A 25,229-nucleotide genomic window follows, 5' to 3' on the forward strand; every position below is an offset into this window, starting at 1 on the left:
GTGGCTCATGCCAGAGAATTGCTTGAACTCAGGAGGCAGAGGTTGCAGTGAGCCGAGGTCGTGCCATTGCACTCCAGCCTGGGCAACAGAGCGAGACTCCATCTCAAAAAAAAAAAAAAAAAAATTTGGGGGGAGCCCATAACTTCCTTGGTATAGTTTCCCCACTTAATTTTTGGAGATAATCTTAAAAGAAACTGAAAATTGTTTAAAAAGCATCTATCACGTTTCTTAGAAGAAACCAACATATGTAATTATTTTATTAAATTGGGAAGACCTGCAGTCTGTTTGTCAGGTTCTTGGTATGGCATTTCTTAGAGCATTTGCTGCTATCATTATTGAAGTGGAAATATTTAAAAAACACAAAGTATGCAAATACAAGAAATGGACTTTATTTGAAACAGTATATAAGAAGTATGTGCCAGCCATTAGGTAAATGTCCACTCTAAGTAAAAAGCATCCACAGTTACTGACTTCTAAGGACTTCCTTTTCTAGCAAATATTTGTTATACATTGCCACCTCAAGCACCAAATTCCCAAGGTGAAAGTTCAAATGGCCTAAACTTTAAGATTGCTTTGGAATTATCTTGACTATGGAACATGTGTCAGTGGTTAAAAATCAGTTACTAGCATCTTCTCACAACTTAGAAACATATCAAATTACCCTATTTTAAGCAAAGCTTTTCTGTAATCTGTTCTTCCTTTAAATCATATGCTCATCTCCTCTTTTTAAACCTCCAAACCTCAAGAAAGAATAATCTATCTTTGTCTCTCTTACTCTCTTATCCTGTCTTCTCTGTTCATATTTTGTCATTTGCCTTTGTTGTTTTCCAGAAATGTCCTGTTGAAGTCCTCAAGTCCAGTGATACTGGGCTTCATTATATTTGACACAACTCATTGCTTCTTTATTCTTAAAACTGTCTTATTTGGTTTCTGTCTCTTGATTGTTGCTTTACTTATCTGATTACATTTTCTGGCTCTTCCTCTTTTTTTTTTTTTTTAAATGTATGTCTTCTGTGAGGATCTGTCTAGGATCAACTTCTTCACTTACACAGTCTTCTTTGGCCATGTCATCATCTATGTAAGTGACTATTACATCAGCAACGTTAAGGTTTTTCAAGACTCGGGTCCTACTTCAAGTGCTAAACAGAAATTTTATACTTTTATGTTCTGTGAATATAATACTGAGAGTTATAATATTTCCCAGATCTATTCTTTCTTGACATGTAGAGCCTATGTAAGTGTTAAATATAGTAGTTCACAGATCTATTCTTTCTTGACATGAAGAGCCTATATAAGTGTTAAATAAATCTGAATGGCATTTCTTATACCTAAAAGCATGGTTTATATTTGACTCTTGGCTTGTCCTTGCACCTTGTTGCAAAGTACAGATAATTCTGTCCTTTGATATCCATTATATAATTTTTATTCTTACTTTCTTGACCATTCTTATTGCTGTAATCATCATTAGCTCTCACCAAGACTGTTGGGAATCTTTTTTATTGTTGGTAAATTTCCCTAATTACAGTTATGATCATGTCATTCCTCTGTTAAAATATTTAGGGGGTTGATGCTTGTAAAAACAACTGCACGTATTTTACAACCTGGTGTTTGAGCCCCTCTAATATTTTAACCCAAATGTACGCTTAAAAATCTTGTTGAGCACACTCTCCTTTACTTAACCTCATTTCATGTAGCTGAACAGCTTTTTTTCTTTTTTGTGCCTTGTACTTTGCTGCCTTTAATTTTCTCTTTACTCTCCCATTTCCACACATCCAACCTAACCCTTTCTGCAAGTCAGTGCTCAGACACAACCTTCTTTACAAAACTTGCTCTGAGTCTTTTATTTTATCTGCAGTCCTCTGATACGTACAGGACTATGCTTTGCGCTTTAGTACATGTACTTTATTTCTTGAGGCTCTTTAAATGCAGTATTGTATCTGGGAGGCTGCTGTTATGTATTTGAACAGAAAGTACATTTGGAGAAATTTAATAAAACAATATGAATTTTAACATAATTTAATAATTACTTAGATATTTTAGAACTTGGAATTCAGTTCATGAAAGATTTACTCTGTACTTCTGTGTGCTGTACATTGTTCTAAGTTCTGGAAATACAAAGATGAGTAAGTCATGGTTATAGCCCAAAGAAGCTAACAATCTCTTAGGAGAACAGAAAATAGAGATGTATCAATAATACAATGAGATACACAAACTAATTACATGGTATTAATGGTAGTTTTGAGATACTTTGTACTAGAAAAGGCTACTAAAAGTGAATTTACTTAAGCTGCAGACTAAAATTAATTTTATAGTCAGTAGTGAATAAAAGCTTTGATTGGAACTTTATCTGGGGGGGCGGGGACATTTGTAGTATTAGACACCATCTGTTTTTTTCTTATGTTTAACCAATTATATCCAGTGTTTGCTTTTTTGAGGGTACATTTTTTTCAGATAAAATTGTATTACTCTATTCTTTACTTCACATTTAACTTTTGTAATACCAGTCAAAAGGATAATCATCTTTGCAGAAAAATATTTGAAGACTTCCTCAGTTCCCAGTAGCGCTTTTTATACTTATTTATTCACATGATTCTCTTGAAGTACCTATGTGTGTGTCATCATTCCTGTTAATTTTCTCTTCTTCAGTTGTTATTTATGTTAGTGGAGTTGCCTATGATTTCACAGTTCTCTAACATCACTTTGATGACTTTTTGAAAACCTGCTACTTGTGTGATGCTTCAAGGATTGACATTGCAATTAATTTGTCTTGTATTGTTGCATCCTGAATGATTAGTCAGAGAGGGACAAAAACCTGGACTTGATTGGGATTTTAATGAATGGCCTGTTCATTTGTGAATACGCTTGTGATATGTGGATTTTTACTTACCCAGTTTGTAATTGGGTATTTTCATAGTAAATCTATAACGGAGACTCCTCTCCTCTGTGGGACTGATACTGAGGGCGGGGTGAGTTAATGTTAACTTTGTTTCGTGGAGTATGAGGGTAGATAACTTTCTGTGAAAACTAGACTGCTTCTTCCCCTTCCCTCCCTACAGCTAATTCCCCCCTCCTCCCCCCAAAATGGAGTCTTGCTCTGTCACCCAGGCTGGAGTGCAGTGGTGTGATCTCGGCTCACTGTAACCTCTGCCTCCCGGGTTTAAGCGATTCTCCTGCCTCAGCCTCCCAAGTAGCTGGGATTACAGGTGCCTGCCACCACACCTGGCTAATTATTGTATTTTCAGTAGAAACAGGGCTTCACCATGTTGGCCAGGCTGGTCTCGAACTCCTGACCTCAGGTGATCCACTTGCCTTGGCCTCCCAAAGTGTTGGAATTTCAGGCGTGAGCCACTGCGCCCGGCCTCCCTCTGTGTGTGTGTGTGTGTGTGTGTGTGTGTGTGTGTGTGTGTTTTAAACTTTAGGTTCAGGGGTACATGTACAGGTTTGTTATCTAGGTAAATTGTTTGTCACAGAAGTTAGGTGTACAGATTATTTCATCACACAGGTGATAAGCATAGTACCCAAAAGGTAGTTTTTCCATCTTCACCCTCCTACCCTCCACCCTCAAGAAGGCTTTGGTGTCTGTTCTTCTCTTCTTTGTGTTCATGTGTACTCAATGTTTAGCTCCCACTTTCAAGTGAGAACAGCAGTATTTGGTTTTCTGTTCCTTTATTCACTAAAGGTAATGGCCTCCAGCTCCATCCATATTGCTGCAAAAAGCACATGTAGTATTCCATGGTGTATCTGTATCACATTTTCTTTATCCAGTGTACTGTTGATGGACATTTAGATTGATTCTGTGTCTTTGCTGTTGTGAATAGTGCTGCAGTGAACATATACATACATACATGTGCCTTCATGGTAGACATGATTTATAATCCTTTGGGTATATACCCAGTAATGGGATTGCTATGTCAAATGGTAGTCCTGTTTTCAGTTCTTTGAGAAATCACCAACCTGCTTTCCGCAATGGCTAAACTAATTTACATTCTCACCAGCATTGTATTAGTGCTCCCCTTTCTCCACAGTCTCACCAGCATCTATTATTTTTTGGCTTTCTAATAATGGCCGTTCTGACTGGTATGAGATGGTATCTCGTGGTTTTGATTTGCATTTCACTAATGATTAACGATGTTGAACATTTTTTCATATGCTTGTTGTCTGTGTGTATATCTTCTTTTGAAAAGTGTCTATGTCCTTTGCCCACTTTTTAATGGAGTTGTTTGGTTTTTGTTTGTTAATTTATTTAAGTTTCTTAGAGATTCTGGATATTAGACTTTTGTTGGATGCATAGTTTGCAAAAATTTTCTCCCATTCTGTAGTTTGTCTGTTTACTCTGTTGATGGTTTGTTTCTTTTGCTGTGCAGAAGCTCTTTAGTTTAGACTACTTCTGTAAAACTAGATGTTTGGTATTTTGATAAACTGAAATTTAAATGAAATGAAAGAAGATTTTAAAATAAGGATTTAAAGATAAGGATGAGATGTTATGACCAAGATTTTTGGGGAAGATAAACTAAATGATCATTCTAGATGAAGAAATTGTTACAATAGTAAGAAACACACCATACCTTATTTAATTGGTGGAGTGTAAGGTGTAATCATGAAGGTCTTTGTAGGTCATATAGAAAAGTTTGAACTTTTCCCTGTGCAGTAGTCTCCCCTATCTTTGGTTTTGCTTTTCCACAGTAAGATATTTTAAGAACAAGGGAGACCACATTCACATAACATTTATTATATAGTATATTGTTATACTTGTTCTATCTTATTAGTTACTGTTAATTTCTTGCTGTGCCTAATTTATAAATTAAACTTTATCATAGGTATCTATATATAGAAAAACGCGTAATATATATAGGATTTGGTACTATCCTCAGTTTCAGGCATCCACTGTGGGTCTTGGAATGTATCCTCTACCTCCACTGATAAGGGGGAGCTAGTGTCGTTCAGAAAAACTTCTGATCATCTATGTGCCAGGTTTTTTGTTAGGCTTAGAGAGATAAAAACATAATTCTTTTCTTCAAGGAACAAGTACTGGTGGGTAAGACAGACATTTAAACCAATCATTTTAATACTTTATACTAAATGCTATGCTGGAGATAAGTACAGAATGCTAAGAGCACAGAGGTGGGTGCTGGATACAGATTACACACTGCGTTCTGTCTGATATATAAGCTATCTTTAAGGATAAGTAGGAGTTAGCTAGGAGACTAGGGGTGGGTAGTTTAGGAGAGGGGAGTAGTATGAGTTAAGCAGGCACACGGGTAATAATCAGCCTGGTTTAAGTATAGAAGTCAAAATAATTTGGTGTTTCTGAAATGGATTAGTAATCCTTACCTTCAGAGTTGTGCTTTTTATTTCTTTATTAAGAGACAGGGTCTTGCTATGTCTGCCTTAGCCTCCCGAGTAGTTGGGACTACAGGTGTGTACCACCATGCCCAGCTAGAGTTGTACATTTTAATATGAATAGTTTTTTTCAGTGACAGAACTAAAATGTATAAATTGGGCAGTTTTATCTTGCCCAGTAAATGAAAAAGATATATATGAGATGGTGTTTAAGCCTTAATTTTTGTATCTTATTTAAGTTAGGGCAGATTTATATTTACTAGTTTTTTTCTGTTTTAAAAGTATGTTTGTTTTCTAACACATCTAACTGGTACTTATTAGGGCCCAGATGAATATTGCAGCTTCAAAATGAACTTTAGTCACAACATCTCACTCTTGTGAGCAGTGAAGCAATTATTGTAGATAAACTTGCTACTGTTTACTCTTTACTTAAAATAGCAAATTTTATATCTGAAGTTGTTACTCTTTGCTGCCATTTGAATAATATCTGGAATAATTGTGTCTTTACAGGATGAATGCTATCAAGTAAGACAAGTGTTTGCCCAGAAACTTCACAAAGGCCTTTCCCGTTTACGGCTTCCACTTGAGTATATGGCAATCTGTGCCCTTTGTGCAAAAGATCCTGTAAAGGAGAGAAGAGCTCATGCTAGGCAATGTTTGGTGAAAAATATAAATGTAAGGCGGGAGTATCTGAAGCAGCATGCAGCTGTTAGTGGTAAGCATATAAGAAAATGGAAAGGATACTTTTTCAGCCTGCTAGTTTCAGTTTTATAGAATATAGCATGATATATGATATTACTGTTATTTATTATTTGTGATTAACAATTTTTATTACCATTTTTCAATAACTGCTTTTCATTTAATATGAAGGTCATTTAAAAAATGCATGGTACTTAAATATCAACCTATATCTGTTTATGTAAAGGACTAAATGGCCAAGGAAAATAAACAATGACATTGGAGGTACTTTTAACAGAATAGTAAAATTTGTACATTTATATAGATTGAGCATTATCTTATTTTAATTGGAAAAAAGTACAAGACTTTGATCTTTGTTGTTTGTTCTCACCTGTAGCTGACATTAATATCAGGTGTTTGCGTGCCTACTTTTCATCTGCTCACTTTACCCCATTGAGGTTAGTTGGTGTGCCTCTTGACTTCCATGATTTAACAAACAGCATTAAAATCCATCCAGTTATCTCACTCAGAAATCAGAGGCATTATTCATACCTTTTTTCCCTCCTCTCATCCGTCACCAAATTCTGTTAATTCTTTCTCCAAATGTCTTGAACATTTATCTTCTACTCTCCTACCTTGCTATATTTTCACTTGGATTGTTGTATACATTGCCTCCCTGTTGTAATTGTTCCTGTGCCTCTGACCCACTGCCTGCTGTATCACATTGCTATCAAAATTATCCTTCTAAAACAGATTAGATCACATCAGTCCCTTACTTGAAATTTCTGTTGATTCTCTGTTGCTTGTGGGATAAAGTTGAAACACCTTATAGCCCTTTATAGTTTGCTCTCAGCCTGAGTTTCAAGCTTTCTTTCTGCTCCCTATTATGAAATCTGTGTTTCATTTACTTTCGATTACTTGAAATTTGTGTAACAGTCTTTTTTCTCTGTTGTCAACTCTATCTGGAAATTGCCTCCTGTTTCCAGACAAACAAACAATGAACAAAACCAAGGAACATGGTTGACACCTTTTGAATGCTTTAAAATACAGTTTTGGGGTTACCACATCACTGTGACCCTCTTTCTTTTTTTTTCCTTCCTTACGCTGGAAAATGTGAGGGGTCTGCAGTCACATCCCACTTCTGCCGTTTACCTGTCGTATTTTGGCAGATTACTTAATCATTTGTGCCCTAGTTTCCTTATTTGCAAAATTGATATAATTATACTGATTGCTTGTGGTTGTTGTGAGAATTTAAAAAATTACATACAGTGCCTGGCATAATGTATGGCCCAAAGAAGTGCTCAGTATGTGTTAGCCATTCTTATTTTGGTGCACCTTTCACATTGAAGTGTAGCTTCTGTCTCTGATTATGCTTTAGTGTGAGCTCTTTACCTAGTCTTACTCATCTTTATATTTTTAGATTCTAATATAGGCCTGGAACATAGTAAACAGTCAATAAATATTTGATAGAATTTAATTTTAATTTCACCAGATTTTGAACTGTGTTACCTTTTTCTTTCCACGTCGGCCTTGAAATGAATGATGTTACACACAAACTGTTCTCTGTAGATTTAGCAATAGAAATAAAGAAAATTTGATGCTTTATTGACACATATACATGAGGTTAAAACATCCAATTTATATTTTTATTTGGCAAATAGGAAATATAAATGGAAATTGTCCAGAATATGAGTCCCAGTCTATGTGTACCCCTTATTAAACCAATTAGGATTACCATTCTGACCTCTTTAACAGAATATGTTTATCTCAGCCAACATACAAAAATAATTGCATTTAAACTAAATAGCTGTTTCTTTATTTAAAATGCCCTAGAAACTCTTAAGTCTGTTCCTTTATTCTGTTTTTCTGTTACAATTAGTATCAACCTCTTGTTGTTCCATATTGACTCTGAAAAATACTAGATGTTACTTATTTTGCTCAGCAGCTTACAAGAGAGTGTTAAACATAGGGTCATTTCTAATAGGAAAAATAGATGTTTTTTCTCTCACTCTTGAATATAGTTTGTTTGGGTCACTTTTTCCTTACGTATTTTAAAACTGAAATATTTGTTTTTGTAGCCTCAGCCCATGGTGTATTTAGTAGGCCATTTCAATATTGAACATGGTAGATGAATGAATAGACTGTTTATCATGTACCTCAACACAGGGTATTTCAATATATTTTTCTTCAAGTCATTGTGGTGAACTGTTGGGATGCAGAAAATATAGTACGAAAGAAAGAGTATGTAAGATTTGGTTTTCTAACCTGGATATTTTTGTTTTGTTTTGTTTTTTGCTTTTTCTTTTGTTTTTTTTTGTTTGTTTGTTTGTTTTCTTTTTCAGAAAAATTATTGTCTCTTCTACCAGAGTATGTTGTTCCATATACAATTCACCTTTTGGCACATGACCCAGATTATGTCAAAGTACAGGATATTGAACAACTTAAAGATGTTAAAGAGTAAGACTTTTTCCATCCCATTTTCATATTTTCTGAAAGTTATTTTTTCTCCTTAATGCTGATAATTGGATCTCAATTATAATTAGTTTATTGATGTATTTCATTTCTTAGGTGTTTAAGGTTCTTTATTTGCTCTCTTGTCTTTCTTTTTTCATACCATCTCTTTATATTACATTTTTAATGTAGTTTCCCAAAACTTAATCATAATTATTATAGTTATGTTTCTGTACCAGTCTGGTGTTCCTTTTCTATTGAAGTAATTCATTAAAATTTCCATTCCATTTCTTATCTTTTCCTTCTTCCTTCTGAAACTGTGTAGATTTTCATGTGAGGTCAATTAATCATCTTGCTTTTACTCATGTAGTAAGCACATTTTTCTTTGCAATAACTATCTTCCTCTGTAGAAGGAGAATGGTCTAATTTTAACAATGGGCCAAATTCGTAACTGGGGAACTACTCCTACTTATTACTTAATTGGTGATTCTCTAACTAGAGTTTAAAATATTTGTAATTCTTTCAAAGATTATTGCTTAAAGACTGAAAACACTGTACATGCCTGGGTGGGGAATAGGAATATAGTGATATTTAGAGAAATCTTTAAGACCAGCATAATTCTTTAAATAAGCTCGAGACCCTGGTCCTTGTTCAGTTACAATAAAAGATTACCATTGGGATTTTTAATCAACTAATTTATGATGCCTTTAGTTTCCTATTATATTAAAATGTTTCTTAATGTCTTAATTTTTAGAAGTATTTTATAGTTAAATAATTTGAGAAGCCTCAGGAGAATAAAATCAAATTAATGATGAATTCTCATGGCAAAGGAAAAAATGCCCTTTTTTTCCCACTGCAGTTTCCTTTTTTAAAAAATAAGAAATTAGTTCGGCCAGGCCTGGTGGCTCATGCCTGTAATCTCAGCACTTTGGGAGGCTGAGGCGGGTGGCTCACCTGAGGTCAGGAGTTCCAGAACAGCCTGGGCAACATGGCAAAACCCCGTCTCTACTAAAAGTACAACAAAATTAGCCAGATGTGGTGGTGCGTGCTTGTAGTCCCAGCTACTTGGGAGGCTGAGGCAGGAGAATTGCTTGAACCTGGGTGGTGGAGGTTGGCAGTGAGCCAAGATCACACCACTGCACTCCATCCTGGGCAAACAGAGTGAGACTCTGTCTCTATTAAAAAAAAAAAAAAATTAGTTCTATCAAAATTAGTTTTGTGTTAGAGTGATTAAAACTGTTGAAAACTTCTAGCCACTTCTTTCTGAGAACATTGGGTTTTTAAAAATAAATAAAACATCCTTTGGAATTTACTAGACACTTACGGTTATATTTCTAAGTAGCCCCAGTGTAGCCATGCATAATCTCCATTCTATCAGGGAGCCACTTCAGAAGAACTTATCCTATACCTAAGTTCCTAAAGGTTATTTCTTTTCTGTTCTAGAATAATACCTTGCTTCACATTTCTCTCCTCCTTCTCCCATTACTTTTCTCCTCTATGTATCAACTATAACTTTGTTCCTTTCTGTCTCTATAATACATAGGCAAAACACTTTCATTTTGTATTGAATAGAGTTTTACGTAATTAAGTTTAAAACTGAGCTACTGAAGCTTTCTTTTAATTTTTCCCTTTTTAAGCAAAGACAATGCTTATAATTGTCAATCTTGACTTTTTCTCTCTATTATTGAATATTCTTAACTGTTCATATTTAATAAGGCAGTTATATTCTCTTGAAGAGTTCCCATCAGGACTGTAGTCAGTCTTGAGTATCTGAGGCCTCACTTGATCCGTGGCCCCACTATTCCTTTGACAGTCTTTAACTCCCTGTCATAGCTGAGGGTTAAGATAACTTCATCCTTTCTACCATTTATGTTTCCCCTTTAACCCGCCTCCTTGGAAATCTGGTGAGATTTTAAGAAGGGATCTTATAAGCTCATATCTGCATTGTTGACCTGTTTTTATATGTTTGTATGACATATTCTTTTTCCCTGCTGGTTTGTAACTGTTTCTTTTTTTTTTTTCTTCCTGGAGTTATATTATCTAGGTTTGTTATATTTATATTTAGAATTATTGTATCTATATTTAACAAAGGATGATTTTCTTCTATATTTCTTTTTTCCTTTTTTTTTTTTTTAGATGTCTTTGGTTTGTTCTGGAAATATTAATGGCTAAAAATGAAAATAACAGTCACGCTTTTATCAGAAAGATGGTAGAAAATATTAAACAAACAAAAGATGCCCAAGGACCAGATGATGCAAAAATGAATGAAGTATGTAATTCTTTGTAAATAATTATGGTTCCATATTGATTTAAAAATTTAGGTGTAAAGTATGAAACTTCTGTAGTATTTATAGATAGCATCAAATAATTTTTTCTATTAGTAATTAGAATTACGTAGAATTAGCAGTAATTTTATTACAAGTAAATGAGCAAAACCAGTAGTGTAAGCTAAGATGCTTACACAGACTGTTGCTTTCATTAGTTTGCTATTCAGACTGGATTCATGTTCTGAAATTATTCCTAGTTTACAGAGTCTAGATTGCCAGCTTAAGTATCTGTGTTTTTAAAAATATACTATTGCAGAAACTGTACACTGTGTGTGATGTTGCCATGAATATCATCATGTCAAAGAGTACTACATACAGTTTGGAATCTCCTAAAGACCCGGTACTACCAGCTCGTTTCTTCACTCAACCTGACAAGGTAGTTACTTTACAATTTGTTTGTGTAAGTTGAAATAAAATGTATTCTCAGCACTGGATTGTAGGAAGATCAGGAAGGATCATGGAAAAATTGCTGTGAGTCTTAAGAATGTGATTTAAGATCAGAACCAGAATATGAGTCAAACTGGAGGACACACATAAGGTTCAGATATTAGGATGATCTGGTGTTTATGTTCAGTTTTAAGACAGTCTTAGAGCGCAGGTAGAAATGTGATCAAAGCATGTGAATCTGTGAATTAATGGCCATTGTTCAAAATGGGAAGGAGAGTGCTGATAGAGATACAGTCTGAAGTTAAAAGCCCTTTATTGGGATTTATAATTGGTATGAGGAAACAAGCAGAGAACAGACACTAGAACATGCCTAAGACCCTGGGAATACTACAAGAGTGTTACCAAACCATGCTCCAAAAACTCGAGTGTGATATAAGATGTAAAAAGTGTTTCCCACAGTCCCTCTTACTCCTTTATAATTTATTTATTTAATTCCTCGTAATTTAGCTGAACATATTGAGTAACAGAGTCTGGAAATAACCACTATCCTCTTTTTGCTTTTAAAGCAAAATGCCAGTTAAGACCTTACCAGTGTATAGAGATTTGGAACAGGCCTGTAGGATTGCTCAGTAGCTAAAAGGGCTGTCACGTTGGTGTGAGCAGAGTAATAGGAATATGTACATGTGGTCTTTCCCCTGAAGGGTGTTATTAAAGAAGCATGTGTTTTCTGATGCACTCTTAGAGCTCTAACATGTTAGAGCTCAAATATGTTTTGTTAATATTAGAGTTGGCATGAGGTTGGTTTAACCTTATTACAGTAGTTAAAATCAGTGACTGAAATTTTGTGTTTCATATGATAATTTAGTTTAAATAAAAAAACTGCTGTTTGCTTTGTTGGCTTTTGAACCACCTGTAGATAGTGTTTTAATATTCACTGACTACTTCTTTTTCTCTTGGTTGTAGAATTTCAGTAACACCAAAAATTATCTGCCTCCTGAAATGAAATCATTTTTCACTCCTGGAAAAGTATGTTTTGAGAATCATTTTAATTTTTATGTGGTAGCTTATTTTAGAGTGATTATTGGCAAAATTGTGTTATTTTGTATTTCTTCAAAAATTTATATTTTCAAGCTGGAAAATATAAGAATTAACGATCTTACATTTACTAGTAAGAAATAATTATATTTACTAGATATACACAAGCTGAAATACACAAATTACTTTTTAGCTTGTAATAAAGTCCTAGGAGACCTGATTCTTAGACTTCTTAGGTTAATATCAAGATAAAAAAAATCTTAAAAGGCTTTTTTTTTTGAGACGGAGTCTCTGTTGCCCAGGCTGGAGTGCAGTGGCGCATCTCGGCTCACTGCAAGCTCCGCCTCCTGGGTTCAAGTCATTCTCCTGCCTCAGCCTCCTGAGTAGCTGGGACTACAGGTGCCTGCCACCACGCCTGGCTAATTTTTTGTATTTTTAGTAGAGACGGGGTTTCACTGTGTTAGCCAGGATGGTCTCGATCTCCTGACCTCGTGATACACCCGCCTTGGCCTCCCAAAGTGCTGGGATTACAGGCGTGAGCCACTGCACCCGGCCAAAAAAGCATATTCTTATGTCTTTCCATGGCAAGAGTCTAATTATCTATTTTCATTGTTGATTATTCATTTCATTTGTTCTCACTTTTTATGTAAGCCGTTTTCTCCAGATAACTAAGAAATTCAACTGTTATGCTGTCTGTATAGTTTTTAATTTGTTCAAGTGATATTTAGTTTATACTTATTACTTTGCTTAAGGATAGACACATTTTTCATGATTTGTAAGTAAATACTTTGAGAGAGATGTTATTTATGGTTCTTTACACGTAACTTTCTTTTGGCTTTAACCAAATAAAAAGAGATGTGCATTTCTCATTTCAGCCTAAAACAACCAATGTTCTAGGAGCTGTTAACAAGCCACTTTCATCAGCAGGCAAGCAATCTCAGACCAAATCATCACGAATGGAAACTGTAAGCAATGCAAGCAGCAGCTCAAATCCAAGCTCTCCTGGAAGAATAAAGGGGAGGTAAGTGCAAAAGAAATGCCACAATTTACATTTAAGGATTCCAGCAAGGCTATGAGATCTGAAATAATATAATCCAAAATGTTTCATGTCAGTAAATGGAAAGTAATGTATTACTTAATTTTTCCATTTAACATTGGTAGTCACAAGTTCATACTTATTTGCTTGCTCATTTTGGATGGGTGCTCTGTCTTAGTCTTTCATTCTTTAGCTTGTTGGGGGTAATCTGTGTTAGTACACATAAACTAGTTTCCAACCTCAGTGTGTAGCAATTGTAAAACTGTTGTATTATGGTGTATGATACAATGGAATACATAGTCATTAAACATGATGAGGTCTGAGTTAGTATGGAAGAGTTTCCACAATACATTATTGAGTGAAAAAGGCAAAGTATATAAAGCAGCATTATGGAATCTTTAAGTTTTGAAAACAGATTAATGTTCACATTTGTTTTTATATGCATAGAAAGTTTTTTTGAAGAATATGCAAAATCTTAACAGTATTTATGTTAACCTAGTATAGAAAGGGAGGTTATTTTATACTTTTTGGTATCATTTGAATTTATTTGTATAGTACCACGTACATATATAAACTTCGTTTTTTTAAAAGTGTGTTTTTGCTTTTTTGTTTTTTTTAAATTCAACTTTTATTTTAGATACAGAGGGTACATGTGCAGGTTTGTTACATGGGTATATTGCATCCAGATAGTGAGTATAGTACCCAATAGGTCGTTTTACAGCCCACATCCTCCTTTCTCCAGCTCCCCCAGTAGTCCGCATTGTCTGTTGTTTCCATGTGTATACCCATGTGTGTTTGATGTTCCCTCCCATTTATAAGTGAGAACATGCAGTATTTGGTTTGCTGTTCCTGTGTTAATTTGCTCAGGACTGTGGCCTTCTTGCTGTGAAGTACATGATTTCATCCTTTTTTATGGCTGCGTAGTATTCCATGGTATATATGAACTTCATTTTTTTAATCCAGTCCATTATTGATGGGTACCTAGGTTGATTCCATATCTTTGATATTGTGAATAGTGCTGCATTAAACAGATGAGTGCATGTGACTTTTTGGTGTAATGATCTATTTGCATTTGGGTATATAACCAGTAGTGGGATTGCTGGATCAAATGGTAGTTCTGTTTTAGGTTCTTTGAGAAATCTCCAAACTGTTTTCCATAGTGGCTGAACTAATTCACATTCCCACCAACAACATATAAGCGTTCTGTTTTCTCTGCAGCCTCACCAGCATCTGTTGTTTTTTGACTTTTTAGTAATAGCCATTCTGACTGATGTGAGACGGTATCTCGTTGTAGTTTTGATTTGCATTTCTCTGATGATTAGCGATGATGAGCATTTTTTAATGGTTGGCCATTTGTCTTCTTTTGAGGAGTGTCTGTTCATGTCCTTTGCTCATTAAAGAAGAGTTTTTAAAATGATTCTTTGAGAAAAACAAAAGGAAAATTAATTCATCCTTTCACTGGTTTTAGCATAAGTGCTTAGGGCACGATTTGTTAGCACAGAGCATTGTATAGGGCTAAACTGCCACTATTTATTGATTTTTGCCAAGTTATTATTAAAAGACTGTACTGTCTTTTTCATTGTTGATAACCAATCAGTAAAGAAGGTAGGTGACATTCTATGAAATCTTACCAAATTTCTTATAATGAATAAATTGTTGAATGATATATAGTATGATAGAAATAAAAGAAATTGCATTTATAGCTTTTGTTTGTTCTAGATTCCTGTATTAATGCATGTTAGTGGCTAATACCAAAGTGACCCTTTAGTTATATCAGTTGGACATTTTCTATCAAATGGTCTCATATTTAACATGACCAGAAACATTTCCATCAACTCATTTTCTAAATTACTGGTTTTTCTCCTTGAATTCCTTATTATAATCAAAGATGATCTAATTCACCCAGGCAGAAAGCCTCGAAATTGTGTTTGACTCTTCCCCCCTCTATATTTTTTCAGTTGCTAAGTTTTGCTAACTTTTTTTCTGTGCAATGTTTTGTACTTCTCTTTTTACTGTCATCATTTAGTTCATTTTCTTTCTTTAATTATTGTCGTATTTGACTAGTTTACTTCCTTATTCCTCTCAATTGTGTATATTGTATCACTGCTAGATAATCCTTTAAAAATACTACTGTCGTGATGTTATTTCATTGCTCAGAGATCTTAATTGGCTTCCCTTGTTTGCTTTCAAGACAAGTATAATTTCACCCTCTCCTTATCATCCATTTGTTATTCAACACAAAAGTATCCTAATTTATACTTTTTCAATATAGTTTTCTTTAAACTTTCTTTCAATGTTTGACCAATCTGTTTTGTTATTTTTTTCTTCCAAATTCCGTCTGTTTAGTGGGACTGTTTGCAGGGGAATGAAGTAGGTATATTTGAGAAACCTGTTTGGTTGGAGAGTAGGAATGAGGGAAAAATTATGAGAGGAAGTTGAGAGGTAGTCTGATTATGTTTGGACTTCGTAAACCATGGTAAGGAGTTTGGATTTGATTTTAAGTGCAACTGAAAGATTTGCCAGGGAGTCTAGCAATCTCATTTGTGGTTTTTAAAAAAAATTGCCCTGATGATTTGTGCAGAATGTACTATAGAGGAGCTAGAATTGAGGTAGAAAAAGCAATTAGGAGTCAGCGAATCATAATCTATGGCAGGGATGAAGAGGGAAGAAGATGGTAAATAGTCAAATTTCAGATTTTTTTTTTAAGAGTAGTGAAATGCAGTAGTGAGAAGGGAGGAGTGAGTTAAAACAAGGAGTTTGATGTCTAACTAACCATGAGCAATCAGTTGAGAATAACTCACTGCCTTTCGACCACCCTCAGATTTATTTTGATGTTAGATAGATCAGATGATCTTTCTAATGGATTAGATGTGAACAGTTAGGGAAAGGGACGATTTAAGGGTGTATCCTGGGCTTTTTACCTGAATAACTGGAGAGATGGTGGTACCGTTTACTGAGATACAGAAGCCTTGAGGAAGAACAGGCTCTGTTTGTATGTATGTGTTTTGGGGAAGTGGAAATAAGAAGAGTGTTCAAATAACTGTTTTGGCTACATTAAAGATCAGGTGCCTATTAGAATTTCAAGTGAAGTGTTGAGTAGACAATTGGATATGTGAGTTTAGAACTCAGCGTAGCTGGACCAGAGATTGAGATTTAGAGTTCAACAACATATAAATAGTTTTAAAAACTAGATAAAGGTGAGACCACCCAGGACAGAGGCCTGGACCTTTATATGAATGCCAACTCTATGCCTGGCACTGATTTAAGTGCTTGGCATACATTGGTAAGTAAAATTGATTGACACAAGATTCATGCTTATATTCTAACGGGAAGGCAGTCAGTACGTAATAAATGTAATAATTATAGTGTGTTAGAGGGTGTTAAATGCTACAGAGAGAAGAAAAAATAGAATAGGGTAAGGAACCAGGGCAGGTTGCAGTGTAGACCAAGCTAAACTGCCAACGAGAAAAGTTTTAATTGGTTCTATGATCTGACCCCAAAATAGAATTTAGGTTTTAAAAAGACTTAGAAAAATATTAGATTTAAATTTTTGATTTTTAAAATTTTCTCACTATATTAAATTAAATGAGCTTCATTGCTTGTTGAGTTGGTACCAAATATGGTAGAATGAAACTGATTCATTTTTGAAAAGAACGAAATTTTTTCCATAAATCTGTAAAGCTACACTAGGAACAGAAAAAGCTTGTAAGGTTATTTGATTGTAATAACAATTACAAATGTCTGTATTAAAAGGCTTGATAGTTCTGAAATGGATCACAGTGAAAATGAAGATTACACAATGTCTTCACCTTTGCCGGGGAAAAAAAGTGACAAGAGAGACGACTCTGATCTTGTAAGGGTGAGATATTTGCATTGATTTTATAATAATATTAATGATAATTTTACTTAGTAATGTTTACACTGAAACCAGTTAACATGACTATCAAATTTACATTTTATTTTATTTTATTTTAGTGGTTTTAACCACAAACCTGAGTTTATAATTATCCTCTATGTAATTTAAGTATATAGAATCTGTGCTTCTTATCAATGTGATAAGTAATCTCAATTGTTCAGATTTTTGGTATTAGACTTGCCAGTTGCATACTCAACTGCTTGGTTTTTGTATTGTTTTCCTCATTTGCTTGTGGTTTTGTTGTTGTTGTTGTTTTTGTTAACATAGGATATTTAGACTTAGCCTTAGAGAAGGGGAATGGAATGAGGACCCTTAAAACTTCTTTCATTTAATTTATTTCTTGAGCCTTTTACTAAATAAGCTGCTGTTAAAGGTAGAAAATGCTATAGTTCTCGTCAAGTCCTTGTTCAGTTTTTAAATCTTAATAGAAATGATAAAATGATAACTTGTATGATAGACAGTTTGTGTTGTTTTAAGACAAATTTGTTAAGTTTTAGCATAGACACAAAATACAGTTATGTCTTCTAACACAACTCAATGGACTTAACTGGGTTTGTTTTGACTTTACAGTTCAGCTTCAGATCATTTCCTTAATAACTAATTAGGCTATCAGAATCAATTTTCTTATCTGTATGTAAATTATGGATACTTAGCTGGTAAGCTTTATCAGAGTAAGTGACTTAGCCAAAATGAATTGCTGCTGCTGTTTCATTGTTACGACTTTTGATTATGGTTATCATAATAATAAAAGTTAAAATGTTCGAATCTACGTGATTAAGAGAGGTGAGAGGTTAACCAAGAAATAATTACTTTTACTTTCTCTAAAATATTACTGCCCATCTTCCACGAGTCCAGCATTACACATGCCAAGAAGTTTATTTTCATGTTTCTCCAATAACTTATTTTGGCAGAGTGTTTATTTCCATTTAGAAAGAATTATTCTTTTTTGTTTTGTTTTGTTTTGTTTTTTGAGACACAGTCTCACTTTGTCGCCCAGGCTGGAGTGCAGTGGCACGATCTGGGCTCACTGCAACCTCCGCTTCCCGGGTTCAGGTGATTCTCTTGCATCACCCTCCTGGGTAACTGGGACCACAGGCATGTGCCAGCATGCGTAGCCAATTTTTGTATTTTTTAAAGGCGGGGTTTCACCATGTTGGCCAGGCTGGTCTCAAACGCCTGATGTCAGGTGATCTGCCTGCCTTGGCCTCCCAAAGTGCTGGGATTACAGGCTTGAGCCATACTGCCCGCTGTGAAAGAATTATTCTAAAATTTTATTGAATTCTAACTATGTATACTGTAAGTTACGATGTTTATTGGCTGTTTAAAATTTTCACATGAGCAAAATTAAGAATTGATCACTTAGCTTGGAAACAATCTTGTTATCTGGATTTACAGAAGAAAATCCTTGAATTGGAAAAGGTATTATGTCTTCTTAGTTCTCACTTACTGCAGAAATTCCTTTATTATTAATGAGAGCTGGTCACCACGTTGAAAATGCTTTAAGCAGAGAGCTCATGATGTATTTCATTTGTTGGAAAAGTCAACTAGGTCACTCATACCCACACCTATAGTGTACTACACTTATACCTTGGTGTTCCCATCCCCCAAAAGTTGGGAAACATGGTTTTTATTAATTCTTAATATTCTGTTATCCTATAAATTTTGCATCTGCTTTTACCTTTTGGGATAGTACAGAACAAAGTCTACTCTATTTTTCATAGAACTGTTTTGAATTTTTGAGCTCTTGAGACCTATTAGTATGATTGTAATGGAGGCCTTTTGCTATTTGTTGTGGCATGGATAATGTGTAACGTTAGGTCCAGTTTTAGAGGTGCTAGAAGAATCTTATTAATAAGCTAGTTTTGACTGAAGTGCCCTCAGAGAGATGAGTATTATGAGACACAAGTTGAATTTAAAGACCAGTAGATTATAATGAAAGAGCACGGTCTCATTTGCTTGTTACCAGCTTCTCATTGAAATTTCACAGCAAAGGAATTATTTTCCATATACGTTTGTATTTAAATATTTAGCTTTATAAATAAAATATTTTCCTGTCTTTTGCTTCTAACCTCGGTTTTATACTCCCTCTGTTCTTAAAACAGTGCAATGCAAAATGAAAAAGAAATAAGTAGTGGTGCTTTAGGAAACTAGATTAGTATTCTCAAGAAAGTAGACATTGGGTTTTCTTTTTACCACCAACCTTTTCCAGAGCTTAAAGGAAATCATCTACCTTTTTAGATCTTTGGACATCAAAAAGAATTATAGTAATTAAAATAAGAAGTGACATTTTAAATTTAGTTCTAATTTAACATTTCTTTTACCTTCTTATCTTTGAGTAAAAACAGTTAATTTTTAATTTGTGCACAAAACTCTAAATAAATAAAACAAACTAAATCCAGTCATGTATAGATCTTCCCCTCTCCTTAGAATGTAAGGATAGCTTAATGTTACCAAATCTTTTACTATGATAGTATATTAAATAAACCAAAGGGAAAACCAAAAACAAAATAATTTCAGATCATGCCAAGAGGACATAAATAAAACTTAAGATCCGTTCTTGACAAATAGGAACTTTTAGTAAACTAGTACCAGAAGGATACATCTTTAATGTGCTAAAAGTTTTGTCTATTTTAAATCAGTAGTCAATGCCATTCTTCCTAAAGGCAAAATACTTGAAGCATTCTTTTTAAAAATCAGGAACAAAACAAGCAACCTGCTGTCACCACTGTTTTTAAAAATTGCTCTAGAATGTTTGACCAATTGTTATTTTTGTAATCTTAGAAAAATAAAAGAAGCAATTGAAAATCTATCCCTACCTATGTATATATTTATGTTTGTAACTAACATTACTCTGATAATTTTGGTTTGTATCAGATGTACATTTAGGGGAAAAGGGATTATTTTCTTCATCACAAGAACCAGTGCAACAACAAACATAGATTGACTGATTGACAGATTCATAGATTTAAATATAACCTTTAAAAGAAATAGGGAGTACCTATATGTAGAAAATCTCAAAACTGAGATAGGGAGGACCTATATGTAGAAAATCTCAAAACTGGAAGACTTGAAGAGAGAGAAGACAGGCCATGTTCTTGTATAGGAGAAAGGAATAAAAAAGGATGAAAGTTTTTTTCAACTGAATATATAATTGCAAAATTCCAGCATGGTTTTGTTTCAAGTCTATGTGGAGGAATAAATAAATATAAAAGGAGGAGAAATAAAGGTAGGTTCAGCCCTACCAGATACATAATTATACTTAGTAAAATATTGTGCTTCTGTTATGATAGCCCAGAAATATTATTCTTGTTCAAAACATATAAAATAAAGGAAGCACTACAAATCATTGATTCTGAAATGGTTGGATGTGTCTTTGGGAGTGGAAAATCCAGTTTAGAATCTCATCTCACATTCTGTTCTAAAACAATACACAATAATGTCTTAGTCAGCTCAAGCTGCCATTATAAAATACCAAATACCACAGACTGGGTAGCTTAAACAACAGAACTATATTTTCTTACAGTTCTGGAGGCTGGAAGTACAAGATCAAGGTGCCAGCAGATTTGGTTCCTGATGAGGGCTGTCTTCCTGGGTTACAGATGCCACCTTCTCCTGTGTCCTCACATGAGAGGTGTGGGGTGGGAGGAAGAAGAAAGGCACCCAAGCTCACTGATGTTTCCTCTTATAAGGACACTAATCTCATCATGAGGGTGCCACCTCATGACCTCATCTCAACGAAATACCTCCCAAAGGCCCCATCTCCAAATACTGTCACATTGGGATTAGAGCTTGAACATACAATTTTTTTCTTTGGTGGTGGGGGCCACAATTCAGTCCAAAGCAAGTAAGAAATAACACTTAAAGGACAGGTGCAATGACACCTGTAATCCCAGCACTTTGGGAGGCCGAGGCAGGCGGATCACCTGAGTTTAGGAGTTTGAAACCAGCCTGGCCAACACGGCAAAACCCCATCTCTGCTAAAAATACAAAAATTAGCCACGCATGGTGGCACATGCCTCTAGTCCCAGCTACTCGGGAGGCTGAGGCAAGAGAATCGCTTGAACCCGGGAGGCAGAGGTTGCAGTGAGCCAAGATTGACCCACTGCACTCCAGCCTGGGTGACAGAGCGAGACTCTGTCTCAAAAAAAAAAAAAAGAAAAAAAAAAAAAGCTGGGTGCAGTGGCTCATGCCTGTAATCCCAGCACTTTGGGAGGCCGAGGCGGGCGGATCACAAGGTCAGGAGATTGAGACCATCCTGGCTAACACGGTGAAACCCCGTCTCTACTAAAAAAATACAAAAAAAAAAAAAAAAAAAAAAATTAGCCAGGCGTGGTTGCAGACACCTGTAGTCCCAGCTACTCGGGAGAAGGCTGAGACAGGAGAATGGCGTGAACCTGGGAGGCGGAGCTTGCAGTGAGCAGAGATGGTGCCACTGCACTCCAGCCTGGGTGACAGAGTGAGACTCCATCTCAAAAATAATAAAAGATAATATTAATAATAAAGAAATAACACTTAAAAATAAGCATAGAGGCATACACAAAAGCATAGAGGAATATAGAGAAAACCCACTAACACCGCAGTAGTCAAAGTTGACAAAGGACACAATACGAAGGATGTAATTAGGCAGTTCACATACAGGAAGCTCAATTTAAAGTTAGAAAAAGTTACAGATAATTCGATAGTTTTTGTTGTTTTCAGTGATTTTTGAAAATATAAATTGCGCAGACTTTTGGAAATTAACTTTGTATTATAAGTGTTCATACATACAATTTATTCTTGGGTCTTTGGAGAATTTCTTCAGCCTTCACGCTGGTTCACATATAGATTCTCTGAATATAGACTAGGATTTTATTTTAAATGTGAAAGCCACTGGTTTTTTGTTGTTTCTGTTGTTAATCAGTTAGTTATACCTAGAAAGAAGCAGTATTTCTAATTCAGAAGTGTTTCCAAAATTTATAATAAATGATGAATATGTTTACCTTTTGTATCTTGCAACCTCCATTTGTAAAATAATAGTTCTTTTATGATGTTGTAAGCATGTCATATAGTTAATATTTTATGTCTTACGCACTATGTGGTAAAATTAGAATTACTTAAATTGACTATCCAAACAGATACTTTAGTATAGTTGTCATTTAGGACCAAGCACTGAATTTATAATGCTCTTTTTAATGAGATAGCTCTTCACTAAAATTTATAATTTAGTAAGATACTGATCTTGAGAGGTTTCCTTTTAAGACACTCTAGCTGAAAAGTAAGAGTGCAAATGTACCCTTTTATCCCAGATAAGTTTTTAAAATTAAAAACTATAATAAAAGCAAATAAATACAGTTCTGGTGTATTTAAGAGCTGTATATTTTAGGTACATATCTAGGACAACATTAGATAACAGATTTTTTTGTTTCATTCCTCAAAATATGTATACTCACAATTTCATAACCATAAATTGTGATTTTTTTTTTCCCCTAGTCTGAATTGGAGAAGCCTAGAGGCAGGAAAAAAACGCCCGTCACAGAACAGGAGGAGAAATTAGGTATGGATGACTTGACTAAGTTGGTACAGGAACAGAAACCTAAAGGCAGTCAGCGAAGTCGGAAAAGAGGCCATACGGCTTCAGAATCTGATGAACAGCAGTGGCCTGAGGAAAAGAGGCTCAAAGAAGATATATTAGAAAATGAAGATGAACAGAATAGTCCGCCAAAAAAGGGTAAAAGAGGCCGACCACCAAAACCTCTTGGTGGAGGTACACCAAAAGAAGAGCCAACAATGAAAACTTCTAAAAAAGGAAGCAAAAAAAAATCTGGACCTCCAGCACCAGAGGAGGAGGAAGAAGAAGAAAGACAAAGTGGAAATACGGAACAGAAGTCCAAAAGCAAACAGCACCGAGTGTCAAGGAGAGCACAGCAGAGGTAAGCATGTGTAACTCTAAACTGCATCTGTTTCGTTACTATATTATAAATCATAATTTGATGCTATCCACATTTGGGTCTTCCCCAAAGCAGAGCAGAATCTCCTGAATCTAGTGCAATTGAATCCACACAGTCCACACCACAGAAAGGACGAGGAAGACCATCAAAAACGCCATCACCATCACAACCAAAAAAAAATGTGTAAGTTGTAAATATTACATTTCAAACCAATTTCAAATTATTTTGCAAAAGTTCCTAAATTTGTAAACATACATATTGCTGTATTTAAATTCCATATATTTAGCCCCATTACACTAGGTAAGATAAAATTTTTATAAACTTACCTTAGTGATTGATATCTCAATAAACTATCTTGTACATTTTTACAGGTGCAGGCAAATCTTCATAAATGAATACCAAATAGTATATTATTTCCTATACAGACTTTATGATATCTAAAGAAATCATAAGGTATTTTTAAATAATCACCACACATTGACCAGGTTGCCTTGTCATTCCACACTACAATTTTTTTTTTAAATGTTTCTCATTAGCACCTTTTCCTTTAAAAAAAGGAAAATAGGTCTTATGCTTCTGCTTTTATTCTTTGAACTTGTAGTAGGAAAGTAACAGGTACCATTTTTTAAAAATTATATCCATAGAAATTAACACATGTTGGTCTCAAGTGTTTGATATCTTGATTTTGTTTGTTTTCTAACCCAGTTCATTTATCTACATCAACATGTATATAGTTTTAGATGTTCACACAAACACATTTATAAGAGAGGTACAGTAAGAATCTGTACCTCAAATTTTAGTGTCACCAGAGTATCACTGCTGTAATTTGCAGATCTGACAGTGTTTTTTCTCCTTAGTTATGTGAGTGGAAATAGAGTAGCATGTCTTCTATTAGTCAGAAATTTAACACTTTTTCTGAGAGTAATCCCACCCATACATAATTACATCATGGCTCGACTTTTCAGAGTTGCCAATGTACTGTCATTAAATACTCAATTATCTTAGAGATTTTCCTATTCCTGTGTATTCCACAGGAAGAGGAAAAGTTGCCTGGGTGTCTAGCCAGTACTTCATGCCATCTTCCATGTAATTTTTCTATCAGGTTAAAAGTAAAGGTAAGTACATTTTTGTGGCAGCTTTATAAATGTGTTTGGATTCAACCAAATCACTATTTCTAAACAAAGGATTCTTAAGGAATCCTTTATTTAATAAAATACACATGAATGATGTAACAAGGAAATAACAAACCTCATAATTTTAGTTTGTTTATATTTGGACATCATAAAATTCAGGGTTTAAATGATTATTGTGCTCTCCTAAAATTACACAAGTCCTATGAATGTTCTAAACCAAACAAGTATTTCTTAAAAAAAAAAAAAAATTGATATGGAAGAAGATTCTGTAGTCTGTCTTGGAAGCCTATCTTCCTTTCACTGGGAAGCTCTTTCTAGAGCTAGTATACTAACATATGTTAGGATTTGTTTCTTTTTCTTGTTCTGACCTCAGTGAAATTGAAAAAGATTGTCATTATGTTTCATGTTATTTCTATAGTTTCATTAATCTCGAAAAACCAAACCAAGTAAAAAAATTGTTTGGTTCGAGCGTGAGTTAAAAAAATACATATTTTGGATTGCTTATAGAAGTGATGTTATGTTTCTAATTTTAAAAAATAAAGATTTATCAAGAGGGATCCATTTGATTAGATGGTTCTATTACATATTTTTTGATGCCTCCTGTGTTTCAGAGAGTACTAGGTGCTAGGGACACAAAACAGACGTGGTACTTGTTTTCATGGGCTCGTGGTTCTTGTTTTCCACCATCTAATGGAGTGAGGAAGTTTTTTCTTTAAAAGTAACAATGAGTTGATATCTTGAGAATAGTAGGGGCTAGACAGGCAGAGAACAGGTGGCATGAACACTATATTTGAAGTTTCTGAAGTGAAAAATAACTTGGCAAAATCAGAAAGCTAAAGGAAGGCAAGGGTTTGTTGGATTGTAGTTGTGGGGAGTTGGGGAGCAGAAAGAGATGAGAGTGGACAGGTAGGCAAGGACCATCTACTGTTCCTTGTATACTTTGTTAAGGAGGTTTACAAAATTATTCTCAGCTCAGTAGGGAGCAGTAACATCATCTGT

At 34.7% G+C, this 25,229-nt stretch overlaps 1 protein-coding gene and 1 pseudogene across 9 annotated transcripts in view, besides 1 other annotated feature; one reads left to right on the forward strand and one right to left on the reverse strand.

The window, feature by feature from the left end:
- The window catches only part of PDS5B (PDS5 cohesin associated factor B), a 191,568-nt gene that overhangs the window by 161,030 nt on the left and 5,309 nt on the right, over nt 1-25,229 (forward strand). For 4 of the 9 annotated variants that reach the window (XM_005266298.5, XM_047430186.1, XM_017020448.2 and 1 more), the window contains 9 exons: nt 5,851-6,055; nt 8,361-8,475; nt 10,606-10,738; nt 11,053-11,172; nt 12,147-12,209; nt 13,094-13,239; nt 17,008-17,113; nt 22,640-23,079; nt 23,170-23,280. In XM_005266298.5, the coding sequence (XP_005266355.1) occupies nt 5,851-6,055; nt 8,361-8,475; nt 10,606-10,738; nt 11,053-11,172; nt 12,147-12,209; nt 13,094-13,239; nt 17,008-17,113; nt 22,640-23,079; nt 23,170-23,280 (1,439 nt within the window). The remainder of the gene's footprint in view (nt 1-5,850; nt 6,056-8,360; nt 8,476-10,605; nt 10,739-11,052; nt 11,173-12,146; nt 12,210-13,093; nt 13,240-17,007; nt 17,114-22,639; nt 23,080-23,169; nt 23,281-25,229) is intronic. The other 5 variants (NM_015032.4, XM_011534999.3, XM_011535000.3 and 2 more) reach the window with 5 other exon arrangements.
- Nucleotides 2,850-3,144: a silencer, noted in NCBI's record as "tiled region #5009; HepG2 Repressive non-DNase unmatched - State 16:ElonW". NCBI's record gives its function as "represses a minimal TATA promoter and a strong SV40 promoter by Sharpr-MPRA in HepG2 cells {active_cell/tissue: HepG2}" and the evidence as "EXISTENCE:reporter gene assay evidence [ECO:0000049][PMID:27701403]".
- On the reverse strand, nt 15,957-16,071 carry RNY1P4 (RNY1 pseudogene 4; annotated as a pseudogene).

This window comes from Homo sapiens, chromosome 13, assembly GCF_000001405.40.
Source record: "Homo sapiens chromosome 13, GRCh38.p14 Primary Assembly".
Taxonomy (NCBI): domain Eukaryota; kingdom Metazoa; phylum Chordata; class Mammalia; order Primates; family Hominidae; genus Homo; species Homo sapiens.